This window comes from Homo sapiens, chromosome 12, assembly GCF_000001405.40.
Source record: "Homo sapiens chromosome 12, GRCh38.p14 Primary Assembly".
Classification (NCBI taxonomy): Eukaryota; Metazoa; Chordata; class Mammalia; order Primates; family Hominidae; genus Homo; species Homo sapiens.
The window spans coordinates 111,314,342-111,329,018 of NC_000012.12; the positions used below are offsets into that span (position 1 = coordinate 111,314,342).

Here is a 14,677-nt window from a genome sequence, read left to right on the forward strand (position 1 = left end):
GATTACAGGCGTGAGCCACCGTGCCCAGACCATCTTCTCATCTGGGCCTCTGGGAGGCCGAGGCCAAGGCGGGCAGATCACCTGAGGTCAGGAGTTTGAGACTAGCCTGGACAACATGGTGAAACCCCGTCTCTGCTAAAAATACAAAAATTGGCTGGGCATGGTGGTAGGTGCCTGTAATCCCAGCTATTTGGAGGCTGAGGCAGGAGAATTGCTTGAACCTGGGAGGCAAAGGTTGCAGTAAGCGGAGATCACACCACTACACTCCAGCCTGCGCAACAAGAGCAAAACTCAGTCTAAAAAAAAAAAAAAAAAAAAAAAAAAAAACCCCATCTCCTCTAAAAATACAAAAATTAGCTAGGTGTGGTGGCACACACCTGTGGTCCCAGCTACTCAAGAGGCTGAGGCAGGAGGATCACCTGAGCCCAGGAGGCAGAGGTTGTAGTGAGCCGAGATCTCATCACTACACTCCAGCCTGGGTGAGAGTGAGATGCTGTCTCAAAAAAAAATAATAGAAAAAGAAATAACTAGCCAAAGTCTCCCACTAAACCGACAGGACAACTGAGGCTAGGGAGGGAAGACATGAGTTCAGTTACACAGAGACAGAGGGAAACCCCAGGTCTCTCACCTCTTTATACAGCACTTTCTCCTGGGGGTCGGAAGCAGGCACCAGGGCAATGTCAAAGACAGCATCGCAGCAGAGGAAAACGTTTGCTCTCCATGGGCCAGCCAGTAGTCTTATATTCAGGGTCTAGGAGTTCAGCAAGAGGAAAAATACAAAGGTTATTGCCCCATACCCCTGGCAAAAAAAATGAATGCTAAGCAGTGGGCACATGAGCCGCTGCCAGGGAGGAAATGAATGTGACTAACTGCTCAATCACGAGTTCTACTTCTGGGATTGGAAGGAAATGTCCAGAATGGGGACAGGGGTTTATATATAAGCTGTTCCATCATTGTTCATAAGAGTGACAAACTGGAAACAAAACAACCTAAGTGTCCAGCAGTGGGGGATCTGGTAAGTAAAGCAGATAATATCCCTTTAGCAGCATGTGCAGCCCTTAAAGGTAGAACTTTTAATGATAAGAAAAAATGGGGCCGGGCACAGTGGCTCACGCCTGTATAATCCCAACACTTTGGAAGGCCAAGACAGATGGATCACTTGAGGTCAGGAGTTGGAGACCAGCCTGGACCACATGGCAAAACCCCATCTCTACTAAAAATACAAAAATTAGCCAGGCATGGTAGTAGGAACCTGTAATCCCAGCTACTCAGGAGGCTGAGGCAGGAGAACCACTTGAACCTGGAAAGCAGAGGTTGCAGTGAGCCGAGATCGCGCCATTGCACTCCAGCCTGGGCAACAGAGCAAGACTCGGTCTCAAAAAAAAAGAAAAAATTTAGCTGGGCATAGTGGCAAATGCATGTAGTCCCAACTACTTGAGAGGCTGAGGCAGGAAGATCGCTTAAACCCAGGAGTTTGAGACTAGCCTGGGCAACATACCAAGACCCTGTCTCCAAAAAAGAAAAAAAGAAAAAAAACACTCATGTTGATACTAAATGGGGACAAACCAGACTACACTTCCACATATCGAGTATGATCATGCGATGCATGTAGTTTAGAAAACAGACTGGAAGGGAATACATGAGAATATTTCACGTGGTTGCTCCTAAGAGACAGTAAGGGTGACTTTCATTTTGATCTTGACTTTTTGTGCTTTTTTTTGCATGCTCCTCTGTGCTCCCATAGTAGGCAAGTATGAGTTTTTTTTAATCGAGGTAAAATTCTCATAACATAAAATTAAGCTTTTTTTTTTTTTTTTGAGACAGAGTTGTGCTCTTGTTGCCCAGACTGGAGTGCAGTGGCGCAATCTCGGCTCACCACAACCTCCGCCTCCTGGGTTCAAGTGATTCCGCCTCAGCCTCCCGAGTAGCTGGGATTACAGGCATGTGCCACCACGCCCGGTTAATTTTTTTTTTTTTAATTTTTAGTAGAGACGGGGTTTCTCCGTGTTGGTCAGGCTGGTCTCAATCTCCTGACCTCAGATGATCCGCCTGCCTCAACCTCCCAAAATGCTGGGATTACACGCTTGAGCCACCGCGCCCGGCACTTCTTTTTTTTTTTTTTTTTTGACAGAGTCTTTAGCTCTGTCGCCCAGGCTGGAGTGCAGTGGTGTGATCTCGGCTCACTGCAACCTCCACTTCCCAGGTTCAAGCAATTCTCCTGCCTCAGCCTCCTGAGTAGCTGGGATTACAGGTGCGTGCCACCACGCCCAGCTAATTTTTGTATTTTTAGTAGAGACGGGGTTTCACCACGTTGGCCAGACTGGTTTCAAATTCCTGAGGTCAAGTGATCGGCCTGCCTCAGTCTCCCAAAGTGCTGGGATTACAGACGTGAACCACCACGCCCGGCCAAAATTAACCATTTTAAAGTGTACAATTCAGTAGTAGTTAGTATAGTCAGTGTTATGCAACCATCATCTCTCTCCAGTTCACACATGTTCATCACCCCAGAAGGAAACCCTATACCCATTAAGCAGTGCTTCTCCTTTCCACTCTCCCCCCAGCCCCTGGAAACCACTGATCTGCATCCTGTTTCTGTGGATTGACCTGTTCTGCACATTTTGTGTAAATGGAATCATATCATATGTGCTACCTTGCGTCTGGCCTCTTTCACTCAGCCCCATGTTTGTAAGGCTTATTCCTGTTGTAGCCCCTGTTAGTGCTTCATTCCTTTTTATGACAAAATAATGTTCCATTGCTATATTACTTTTTAATTGGAAAAGCAATGAAAATTATTTTTAATGGGTCTAAGAGGACCCACTAGGATGAAAGCTACACAGAGATAATGAAGAAGGGGTTACATTGATCTGGCTTTCTGCAGAGCTAGAGAGACTCTGGTGTCGGGAACGCTTCTCTGAGGGCAGAGGGAAGCACCTTTTCATTTACTGGTTAATTGTCATTCCTCAGGGCACAGATCCATCTATTATCCTTGGTTCATGACACACTCTCAGGGCTGCCGCCTGCATGGCCTTCTCTCAGGTGTCTGTGTGTATGTGTGTACACACGTGCATATATATATATGTGTATATATGTGTGTGTATATTCATGCATTCATTCATTCGTTCACTCATGTAAATGACAGAATGAACCTCTGGGAACATATTGCCCAACCCAAGATTTAGAAAATTCCCAATAACTGAGATCTGGCATTTTCCTCCCCATCCCACCCCTGCCTTCCTCTCCCAGAGATGTCTTTCATCCTAAAATTTTGTCCTGTTGTTCCTTTGTGTTTGCCATTTGTAGAAAAGGTTTTTCACTAAATCATATAGTGTTTATGTTATTTGTTATGGAACTTGATAGAAAACATGTGATACCGACCGGGCGCGGTGGCTCACACCTGTAATCCTAGCACTTTAGGAGGCCAAGGTGGGCAGATCATTTGAGCTCAGGAGTTTGAGACCAGCCTGGCTAACATGGTGAAACCCGATCTCTACTAAAAATACAAAAAAAAATTAGCCAGGCCTGGTGGCGAGTGCCTGTAATCCCAGCTACTCGGGAGGCTGAGGCAAGAGAATTGCCTGAACCTGGGAGGCAGAAGTTGAGGTGAGCTGAGATCACGCCACTGCACTCCAGCCTGGGCAACAGAACAAGACTCAGTCAAAAAGAAAAAAGAAAAAAGAAAACGTGATACTGAGTGCCATCTTATTGGACTTGTTTTTGTTGTTGTTGTTGTTGTTATTGTTGTTGTTTTTTGAGATAGGCTCTCACTCTGTTGCCCAGGCTGGAGTGCAGTGGTGCAAACATGGCTCACTGCCACCTCGACCTCCCAGGATCAAGTGATCCTCCTGCCTCAGCTGGGACCGTAGGCATACACCACCATGCCTGGCTAATTTTTTTTTCTTTTTTCTTTTTTTTTTTTTTTTCACTTTTTTGTAGAGTCAGGGTCTCATTTTGTAGCCTAGGCTGGTCTTGAGCTCCTGGGCTCCAGTAATCCTCCTGCCTCACCCTCCCAAAGTGCTGGGATTATAAGCATAAGCCACTGCTCCCAGCCTTCACCTGCTTTTTTCACTCAATATTATGTTATTAGGATTCACACAAAGGGCACGGTAGCTCATACCTGTAGTCCTAGCTACTCGGGAGGCTGAGGCAGGAGAACCACTTGAGCCCAGGAGTTTGAGACCACAGAGAGCTATGATCGCACCTGAGATCGAGCCACTGCACTCCAGCCTGGGAAGCATAGCAAGACCACATCTCTTTTTTTAAAAAAAAAAAAAGATTCATATCTGATTTTGCATAAGGACTTCCTTTTTCACTGCTGCATAGTGTTCCATTGTGTGATCATCCCACTATTTTTTTTTCTAGAGATGGATGTCTCATTCTGTCACCCAGGTCGGAGTGCAATCTTGGTTCACTGCAGCCTCGAATTCCCAGGCTCAAGCAATGCTCCCAACTCAGACCCTGAGGTACAGGTGTGAGCCACCACGCCTGGCTAATTTTTGTATTTTTTGCAGAGACTGAGTTTTGCCATGTTGCCCAGGCTGGTCTCGAACTCCTAAACTCAGACAATTTGACTGCCTCAGCCTCCCAAAGTGCTGGGATGACAGGTGTGAGTCACTGTGCCTGGCCCATCCCACTGTTTTTGATCCATTCTCTGCATGGGCATTTGGATTCATTGCTATTAGAACAAGTGAAGGGCTGGGCACAGTGGCTCGAGCCTGTAATCTCTACACTTTGGGAGGCTGAGGAGGGCAGATCACTTGAGCCCAGGAGTTTGAGACCACCCTGGGCAATATGGCAAAACCCCGTCTCTACAAAAAATACAAAAATTAGCTGAGCATGGTGGCACATGCTTGTAGTCCCAGCACTTTGGGAGGCCCAGGCAGGAGAATCACTTGAAGCCAGGAGTTTGAAACCAGCCTGGGCAACATGGCAAGACCCCATCTCTATGAAAGAAAGGAAGGAAGAAAGGGAAGGGAAATGAGGAAGGAAAGAAATATTTTTAAAGAATTTTTTTTTTAAAACAGAACAAGTGAACAAGCCACTTTTCTGTGCCTTCGTGTTTTCTTTGTCTTTGAACATTTACATGGTTGGATCATTGCCTATGTAAAAGTCAGGTCAGGCCGGGCACTGTGGTTCATGCCTGTCATCTCAGCACTTTGGGAGGCTGAGGTGTAGATCACTTGAGCTCAGGAGTTCAAGACCAGCCTGGCCAACATGGCAAAACCCTGTCTCTACTAAAGCTAAATAGCTGGGCATGGTGGTGCACACCTGTAATCCCAGCTACTCAGGAGGCTGAGGTAGGAGAATTGCTGGAAGTGGGGAGGCAGAGGTTGCAGTGAGCTGAGATCGTGCCATTGCACTCCATCCTGAGCACCAGAGTGAGACTCCATCTCAAAACAAAACAAAACAAAAGTCAGGTCTGTGTTTGCATTGCATTATCCGCATGAGCATGTTCTCTGCATATGCCAAAACCTCACTGTCAACCGAATTTTGGGTGGCTGCCTAATATTCTGCCACAGGGAGGGATCATAATTTAGTTAGCCAATCCCCAGTTGCTGGACACAGAGGTTGCCTGGACACCGTGCTGGCATCAACAGGGATGCTGTGAACATCGTCCCCTGCATGCCGAGCCCTGACCCTGGGCCTCGGGCCGTCCTGTCCCCCTCCCCGCAGGCGAGCCCAAGACCTCGGTGGCCCCGCTGAGCATCGCCAACGGCACGACCCCCGCCAGCACCTCGGAGGACGCCATCAAGAGCATCCTGGAGCAGGCACGCCGTGAGATGCAGGCGCAACAGCAGGCGCTGCTGGAGATGGAGGTGGCGCCCAGGGGCCGCTCGGTGCCCCCCTCGCCCCCGGAGCGGCCATCACTGGCCACCGCGAGCCAGAACGGGGCCCCGGCCTTGGTGAAGCAGGAGGAGGGCAGCGGGGGCCCCGCGCAGGCGCCGCTCCCGGTCCTGTCCCCCGCCGCCTTCGTGCAGAGCATCATCCGCAAGGTCAAGTCCGAGATCGGCGACGCCGGCTACTTCGACCACCACTGGGCCTCCGACCGCGGCCTGCTCAGCCGCCCCTACGCCTCCGTGTCGCCCTCGCTGTCCTCCTCCTCCTCCTCTGGCTACTCTGGCCAGCCCAACGGCCGCGCCTGGCCCCGCGGGGACGAGGCCCCTGTGCCCCCCGAGGACGAGGCGGCGGCAGGGGCGGAGGACGAACCCCCCAGGACGGGCGAGCTCAAGGCTGAGGGCGCGACGGCCGAGGCGGGCGCGCGGCTGCCCTACTACCCGGCCTACGTGCCGCGCACCCTGAAGCCCACCGTGCCGCCGCTGACCCCCGAGCAGTACGAGCTGTACATGTACCGTGAGGTAGACACGCTGGAGCTCACCCGCCAGGTCAAGGAGAAGCTGGCCAAGAACGGCATCTGCCAGAGGATCTTCGGGGAGAAGGTGAGTGCAGGGCGGGCCCCCGGTGTCTGGGCTCTGGGAGAAGATGTCGGAGAAGTAGGATGCCCACCCAAGCAGGCTGGCGGGACCCCAGGGGCCCAGGCCCTTCATTCCTGAGTCCTGCTGTCCCTGGGTCCCGCAGGAAGGAGGGCCACTGTTCTGCTCCGTGGTTGTTAAAACCAGGAAATGCTTCCATCCTGGCCAGCAAACAGCCACTTAACTCCCCTCCTCCAGGCCCCTCCAGATCGCCTGAGGTCCAGCCACTAAAGGGTTAAGTGGCAGGACTTGGTGGCTCACGCCTGTAATCCCAGCACTTTGGGAGACGGAGGTGGGAAGATCTCTTGAGCCCAGAAGTTTGAGACCAGCCTGGCCAACGTGGTGAAACCCCGTCTCTACTAAAAAATACAAAAATTAAGCTGGGCACGGTGGCTCACACCTGTAATCCCAGCACTTTGGGAGGCTGAGGCGGGCAGATCATGAGATCAAGAGATCAAGACCATCCTGGCCAACATGGTGAAACCCCATCTCTACTAAAAATATAAAAATTAGCTGGGCTTGGTGTCCTGTGCCGGTATAGTCATGGCTACTTAGGAGACTGAGGCAGGAGCATCACTTGAACCTGGGAGGCAGGGGTTGCAGCGAGCCAAGATCTCGCTACTGTGCTCCAGCCTGGGTGACAGAACGATACTCCATCTCAAAAGAAAAAAAAAAAAGTGTTTGGGATCAGCCTGGGCAATGTAGCAAGACCCCCATCTCTACAAAATAAAAAAAATTAGCCAAGTGTGGTGGTGCACAGCTACTCAGGAGGCTGAGGTGGGAGAATTGCTTGAACCCAGGTGGTCGAGGCTACAGTGAGCCATGATCACACCAGTGCACTCCAGCCTGGGCAACAGAGCAAGACCTCATCCCCCCAAAAATAAATAAAAATTTAAAAAGAAAGGGTTAAATAAAGCTCACCCTAGCCAGGGGACCTCAGTGTTTCCTGATTGGTTGGTGCCCCTGCAATGCCAGTTTTAAGTGTCACCTCTACCTTTAGCAAGGGAATAGGCAAAGGGCCAGGCAAGCTCGGAGGAGGGAGAAATGACTTAAGTGGGAGGTCAGGGAAGGCTTCCTGGAGGAGGGGGGCACTGAAGGATTTTTACATGTAGGGACATTAGGGAGGGTACTGGAGGGGAAGGGCACAGCAACAGCACATGGCAGGCACCTATGAGGAACAAATGAAGGCCGCCTGGACTCCAACAGAGGGGAGGGGAGGGGATGGGAGGCTGGGCATGGTGGCTCACACCTATAATCCCAACACTGTGGGAGGCTGAGTTGGGTGGATCACTTGAGGTCAGGAGTTCGAAACCAGCCTGGCCAATGTGGCAAAACCCCATCTCTACTAAAAATACAAAAATTAGCCAGACGTGCACCAGCCTGGTACAAGTCCCAACTACTAAGGAGGCTGAGGCAGGAGAATCATTTGAACCTGGGAGGCGGAGTTTGCAGTGAGCTGAGATGGTGCCACTGCACTCCATCCTGGGCGACAGACAAAGCGAGACTCTGCCTCAAAAAAAAAAAAAAAAAAAAAAAGGTTGGGGAGGAGAGTGAGGGCCAGGCCCATGTCCCAGGGGCCTGCTGACCTACCCCCCTGGCCCGCCCCTCGCAGGTGCTGGGCCTGTCACAGGGCAGCGTGAGCGACATGCTGTCCCGGCCGAAGCCATGGAGCAAGCTGACGCAGAAGGGGCGGGAGCCCTTCATCCGCATGCAGCTGTGGCTCTCTGACCAGCTCGGCCAGGCAGTGGGCCAGCAGCCTGGTGCCTCCCAGGGTGAGTGCGGGCAGGAGCATCTCAGGGGGTGCTGGCAAACTTCCCACCTGCGCAGTGGCATGTCCGCCTGGCTTTACTGCCCGAGTCTACCTATCTCTCCCTCCCTGCTGCCCTGGCTTTCATCCCAGTCACTGTCATGGCTGCACTGGAACATGGCGGGGGGTCCTGGGGTTTCTCTGCTCCCCTTTCTTCCTTCCTCCAACCAGAGGGAGGCTTCTAGAAGCTGCACGCCTGATGCACTGGGTCCTGGCTTTAAGCCTCCAAGTGGCTCCATGGTGCTCAGAGCAGGTGGAGAATGTGTTTTGCATGTGGAGTCCCACATCTGGAATTGCTCATCGATCTCAGCTCTGTTTCCTGAAGACCTAGCGTGCAGCCTCAGACTCCTTCTTAGCACAGGGCCTTGGGCAGTGCCACCCAGCTGCCCATGATAGCACGAGCAGGCTGGAGTGTCAGCTTTGCCCGGGTGAGGAAACGGAGGCTCAGAGGGATGCCCAAAGTCCCAGAGTCCGGAAGTGCTAGGGGGAGCCCCAGCTCCCTGCCACTGTGGGGACCAGCGGATAAGTCTGCCAGGGCCCTGGTGAGGCACCTACCCGGGCCCTGCACTGGAATGAGGGCACGTGACTGCAAGGAGAGGACATCAGACCTGCCCACTGAGAAGGGCAGAGACCAGGGGAGGCCAGACCCTGAGTCCAAGGATCTGAGCTCAGTCTTGTCAATAGGACAAAACCATATCTCAGGTTCACAGAAACGAGCCAGGTCAGCAGGCCCATATCAACAGGAATATGGACTGGAAACATAATGTCAAGTGACAAAAGCCTCCATCCCAGTGACAGTGCTTACTATAGAAGCTAACACCTACAGGATGAGACTGCACACTGGTGTAGCTGTATGGCTGCAGACTTATGCATTAATATTTAAAAAGAGGCTGAGGACAGGCATGGGGGCTCACGCCTGTAATCCCAGCACTTTGGGAGGCTGAGGCTGGAGGATCTCTTGAAGCCAGGAGTTCAAGATCAGCCTGGGCAATAGAGGGAGACCGTGTCTCTACAAAATATAAAAATAATCAGTTGGAATGGTACGTACCTGTGGTCCCAGCTACTCGGGAGGCTGAGGCAGGAGGATCACTTGAGCTGTGATCATCCCACTGCACTCCGGCTTGGGTGACAGAGTAAGACCTTGTCTCAGAAAAAAGGAGGCCGAGCACAGTGGCTCACGCCTGTAATCCCAATACTTTGGGAGGTGAAGGCAGGAGGATCTCTTGAAGCCTGGAGTTTGAAATCAGCCTTGGCAACATGGCGAAACCTCATCTCTACAAATAAAAAATTAGCCGGGTATGGTAGCATGTGCCTGTAAGGGTGAGGCAGGAGGATCGCTTAAGCCCAGAAGTTCGAGGCTGCAGTGAGCTATGATCATGCCACTGCAGTGCATCTCACACTGCACTGGGCAAGTGAGACCATCTCTAAAAGAATTAATAAAATGAAATGTATAGGCCGGGTGTGATGGCTCACACCTGTAATCCCAGCACTTTGGGAGGCCAAGGCGGGCGGATCACAAAGTCAGGAGTTCGAGACCAGTCTGGCCAACATGGTGAAACCCCGTCTCTACTAAAAATACAAAAAATTAGCTGGAAATGGTGGCGTGCACATGTAATCTTAGCTGCTTAGGAGACTGAAGCGGGAGAATCACATGACCTGGGAGGCAGAGGTTGCAGTTGAACTGAGATCCTCACCATTGCGCTCCAGCCTGGGCAACAGTGTGAGACTCTGTCTCAAAAAAAAAAAAAAAAGAAAGAAAGAAATGCATAAGGAGGCAGCCCCCCAGCTGGGGAGGGAGGTTGCACTGGGCAGGGAGGGGGCCAGGAAGAGGCAGGGCGTGGTGACTTTGCTCTGCTCCTTTCCTATTCTTTTTTTTGTTTTGTTTTGTTTTTGTTTTTGTTTTGAGACAGAGTCTTGCTCTGTTGCCCAGGCTGGAGTGCAATGGCATGATCTCGGCTCACTGCAACCTCTGCCTCCCGGGTTCAAGCGATTCTCCTGCCTCAGCCTCCCGAGTAGCTGGGGTTACAGGCGTGCGCCACCATGCCCAGCTAATTTTGTATTGTTAGTAGAGACGGGGTTTCTCCATGTTGGTCAGGCTGGTCTTGAACTCCTGACCTCAGGTGATCCACCCACCTTGGCCTCCCAAGGTGCTGGGATTACAGGCGTGAGCCACAGCACCTGGCCCTTTCCTGTTTCTTTAAAACAAGAAGGAAGATTGGAAGTGACGGGGGTGAAGTGTCAGCATCGATTACGGTGATGGGTGGAAGGGAGGGGAGGACTTACATATTGTTGTCTGTATATTTCTATATGTTTTTAATAGTTTATAAATACAATGATTTAAAAACTCCTCTCCATAAGGCTGTAACGAGGATTAAAAGCAGCCATGCTGGCCGGGTGGGGTGCCTCATGCCTGTAATCCCAGCACTTTGGGAGGCTGAGGCAGGCGGATCACAAGGTCAGGAGATTGAGACCATCCTGGCTAACTCGGTGAAACCCGTCTCTACTAAAATTACAAAAAAAAAAAAAAAATTATCCGGGCGTGGTGGCAGGCGCCTGTAGTCCCAGCTACTCAGGAGGCTGAGGCAGGAGAATGGTGTGAATCCGGGAGGCGGAGCTTGCAATGAGCCGAGATCCTGTCACTGCACTCCAGCCTGGGCGACAGAGCGAGACTCCGTCTCAAAAGAAAAAAAAAAAAGCAGCCATGCTAATGCTAATGACCGCTGCCACTTACCACACATAGCACCAAGTGGTCAAAGTGCTTTGTCCTGTAATCTTCATGTCAGTCTCCACCAAAGGGACTGTTTATCATTTCCATTTCACAGATGAGGAAATCCAGGGGCATGGTAGTGCAGTGACTTGCCCAAGGCCATCATCCAGTGAGTGGCAGACCTAGGATGAGCACCCTGGGCTGTGGGCCATCAGGCTTCCTGCCCCCTAGGGTCCCGAAATGTGTCTACCCCAGAGCCTACCTGGGAAAAGACTTCCATCCTTTTTTGTTTATAGTGTTGTGGTGGGGAGGGGTGGGTTTTGTTTATAGTGTTGTGGTGGGGGAGGGGTGGGTTTTGTTTATAGTGTTGTGGTGGGGGAGGGGTGGGTTTGTTTATAGTGTTGTGTTGGGGGAGGGGTGGGTTTTGTTTATAGTGTTGTGGTGGGGGAGGGGTGGGTTTTGTTTATAGTGTGGTGGGGGAGGGGTGGGTTTTGTTTATAGTGTTGTGTTGGGGGAGGGGTGGGTTTTGTTTATAGTGTTGTGTTGGGGGAGGGGTGGGTTTTGTTTATAGTGTGTTGGGGGAGGGGTGGGTTTTGTTTATAGTGTGTTGGGGGAGGGGTGGGTTTTGTTTATAGTGTTGTGGTGGGGGAGGGGTGGGTTTTGTTTATAGTGTTGGGGTGGGGGAGGGGTGGGTTTTGTTTATAGTGTTGTGGTGGGGGAGGGGTGGGTTTTGTTTATAGTGTTGGGGTGGGGGAGGGGTGGGTTTTGTTTATAGTGTTGGGGTGGGGGAGGGGTGGGTTTGTTTATAGTGTTGTGATGGGGAGGGGTTGGTTTTGTTTATAGTGTTGTGGTGGGGGAGGGGTGGGTTTGTTTATAGTGTTGTGGTGGGGGAGGGGTGGGTTTTGTTTATAGTGTTGTGGTGGGGGAGGGGTGGGTTTTGTTTATAGTGTTGTGTTGGGGGAGGGGTTGGTTTTGTTTATAGTGTTGTGGTGGGGGAGGGGTGGGTTTTGTTTATAGTGTTGTGGTGGGGGAGGGGTGGGTTTTGTTTATAGTGTTGTGGGGGAGGGGTGGGTTTTGTTTATAGTGTTGTGTTGGGGGAGGGGTGGGTTTTGTTTATAGTCTTGTGGTGGGGTAGGGGTTGGTTTTGTTTTATAGTGTTGTGGTGATGGAGGGGGTTGGTTTTTGGTTTTTTGAGACATAGTCTCACTCTGTCACCCAGGCTGGAGTGGTGAGCCACTGCGCCTGGTCTGTGGTGTTAGGTTTTAACTAACTTTTTTACTGTAGTAAAATTCACATAACAGCTGGGCACCGTGGCTCACACCTGTAATCCCAGCACTTTGGGAGGCCGAGGCGGGCCGATCACTTGAGCCCAGGAATTTGAGACCAGCCTGGCCAACATGGAGAAATCCCGTCTCTCCTAAAAGTACAAAAATTAGCCGGGTGTGGTAGCACGCATCTGTAATCCCAGCTACTCGGGAGGCTAAGGCGAGAGGATCGCTTGAACCCAGGAAGCAGAGGTTGCAGTGAGCCGGATGGCACCACTGCACTGCAGCCTGGGTGACAGAGTGAGACTCTGTCTCAAACAAAGAAACAAACAAACAAAAATCACATAACGTAAAATGTACCTTTTAAACCATTTTTGAAGTATACAATTCAGTGGATCTAATACATGCACAATGCGTGTGACCATCACCTCTGTCTAATTCCAGAATATTCCCACCGCCCCAAAAAGGAACCCCATACCCATCCAGCAGTCATTGCCCATCCTCCTTCCCCCCAGCTCCTGGAATTCCGCTTTCTTTCTGTCTGGATTTGCCTCTTCTGAATGTTTCATATAGATGGAATCCTGTACTACTTGGCCTTCTGTGGCTGGCTTCTTTCAGTTAACGTGTTTTCAAGGCTCATACAGGCTGTAGTATGCATCAGAATTTCCTTCCTTTTTTATGGCTAAATGATATTCCATTGTATGGATAGACCCCATTTTGACTATTTTGAATAATGCGCCTATGAAAATTTGTGTACATATTTGTGTTTGAACCCCCATTTTCAGTTCTTCGAACATATATCTAGGAGTACAGTTGGCTAGATCATATGGTAACTCTTGTGTTTAACTTACTGAGGAAGTTCAAAGGGTTTCTGTTTCTCCAGGTCCTTACCAACATGGGTTATCTCCCATTTGTTGACGCTAGCCATCCTGGTGGGTGTGTAAGTGGTATTTCACTGTAGTTTTTATTTGCATTTCCCCAATGTCTGATTGTTTTGGTTGTAGATTTTATTGTCATGGAAGGATTTGACCACAGGTAGGATAGAGGTAAGCAGAGAAGATGGAGAATGGTGCTCCTTGTGGAAGGAATGGCACAGGCAGCGGCTAGGAGGTGGGACCATGCACGGCCTGGGAAGGGATGTGAGTAGAGGTGGCGGGGTCCCCTGCTCTCCCAGAATAGGAAGCCAAGGCTAGGCACAGTGCGTCACACCTGTAGTCCCAGGACTTTGGGAGGCTAAAGCAGGCGGATCACTTGAGGTCAGGAGTTTGAGACCAGCCTGACCAACATGGCAAAACCCCTTCTGTACAAAATTACAAAAATACAAAAATCAGCTGGGCATGGTGGCAGGTGCCTGTAGTCCCAGCTACTCAGGAGGCTGAGGTATGAGGATGCTTGAGCCTAGGAGGTCAAGGCTGCAGTGAACTGGAGTGAGTGCCTTCCAGTCTGGACAATAGAGCGAGACCCTGTCTCAAAAACAATAATAATAATGATGAGGGAATCAGGCCTGGAGGTGGCTACTGTAGCTGCTGGCCCTAGGGAGAGAGTGGTGATGGCAGAGCCACCCTCACAGCCTCTGCTTGTTCATAACCCACTGGGCCTGGAAGCAAAAGGGTGTATCCATTGCCCACAAAGTCCCACAGAGTCTGGCTGTGGGGCTGGGTGTCAGGACCTGTCCAAGCCCCGCTTGTGTATGCCCTGGCCACTGGGGCGGGCAGGGACCGGCACTGGAACCCTGACCATACCTGTTACTGAAGTTGAGCCAGATGCCACGGGAGGGTTATAAAGCACGCCCTTATCCCCACGTCCACTGCCAGGCGCAGCCCCGGGTATAATCGGCGCTACCTACCGTGGCAGCATCAGTATTCCAGACCCTTCCATCCGAGGTTTCTCAGAATTCTCAAGCAGTCAAGGAAGCCCTGTCCTGTCCCCATACACAGTCCCTGTCTTCCCTCTGTCTCTCTCCTGATCTCTGTCTCTCTCCTCCAATTTCTTTTGTGTGTGTGTGTGTGTGTGTGTGTGTGTGTGTGTGTGTGACAGAGTCTCACTCTGTCGCCCAGGCTGGAGTGCAATGGTGTGATCTCGGCTCACTGTAACCTCCGGCTCCTGGGTTCAAGCAATTCTCCTGCCTCAGTCTCCGAAGTAGCTGGGATTACAGGCACCCAACTAATTTTTTGTATTTTTAGAAGAGACAGGTTTTGCCATGTTGGCCAGGCTGGTCTTGAACTCCTGACCTCAGGTGATCCACCCACCTTGGCCTCCCAAAGTGCTGGGATTACAGGCATGAGCTACTGCACCCAGTCACCTCCATTGTCTTCTTTCTGTTTTTCTCACTCTGCATTTTTTTGATTCACCTATCTCTCTCTCTCTCTCTCTCTCTCTCTCTCTCTCCCCCTCTCTCCCTCTCTCCCTCTCCCTCTCCTCCCCCCACCCC

General features: G+C 51.1%; 1 protein-coding gene and 1 long non-coding RNA gene across 8 annotated transcripts in view; one reads left to right on the forward strand and one right to left on the reverse strand.

Annotated features, from left to right (window-relative positions):
• The window catches only part of LOC105369983 (uncharacterized), a 34,934-nt gene extending 29,113 nt beyond the window's left edge, over nucleotides 1-5,821 (reverse strand). Inside the window, exons 1-2 of the long non-coding RNA XR_945341.2 lie at nucleotides 5,732-5,821; nucleotides 629-751 (exon numbers count right to left, since the gene is read on the reverse strand). This is a non-coding gene — a long non-coding RNA (uncharacterized LOC105369983). The remainder of the gene's footprint in view (nucleotides 1-628; nucleotides 752-5,731) is intronic.
• The window catches only part of CUX2 (cut like homeobox 2), a 316,390-nt gene that overhangs the window by 280,177 nt on the left and 21,536 nt on the right, over nucleotides 1-14,677 (forward strand). For all 7 annotated transcript variants that reach the window (XM_017019081.2, NM_015267.4, XM_011538069.3 and 4 more), the window contains 2 exons: nucleotides 5,671-6,434; nucleotides 8,080-8,239. In XM_017019081.2, the coding sequence (XP_016874570.1) occupies nucleotides 5,671-6,434; nucleotides 8,080-8,239 (924 nt within the window). The remainder of the gene's footprint in view (nucleotides 1-5,670; nucleotides 6,435-8,079; nucleotides 8,240-14,677) is intronic.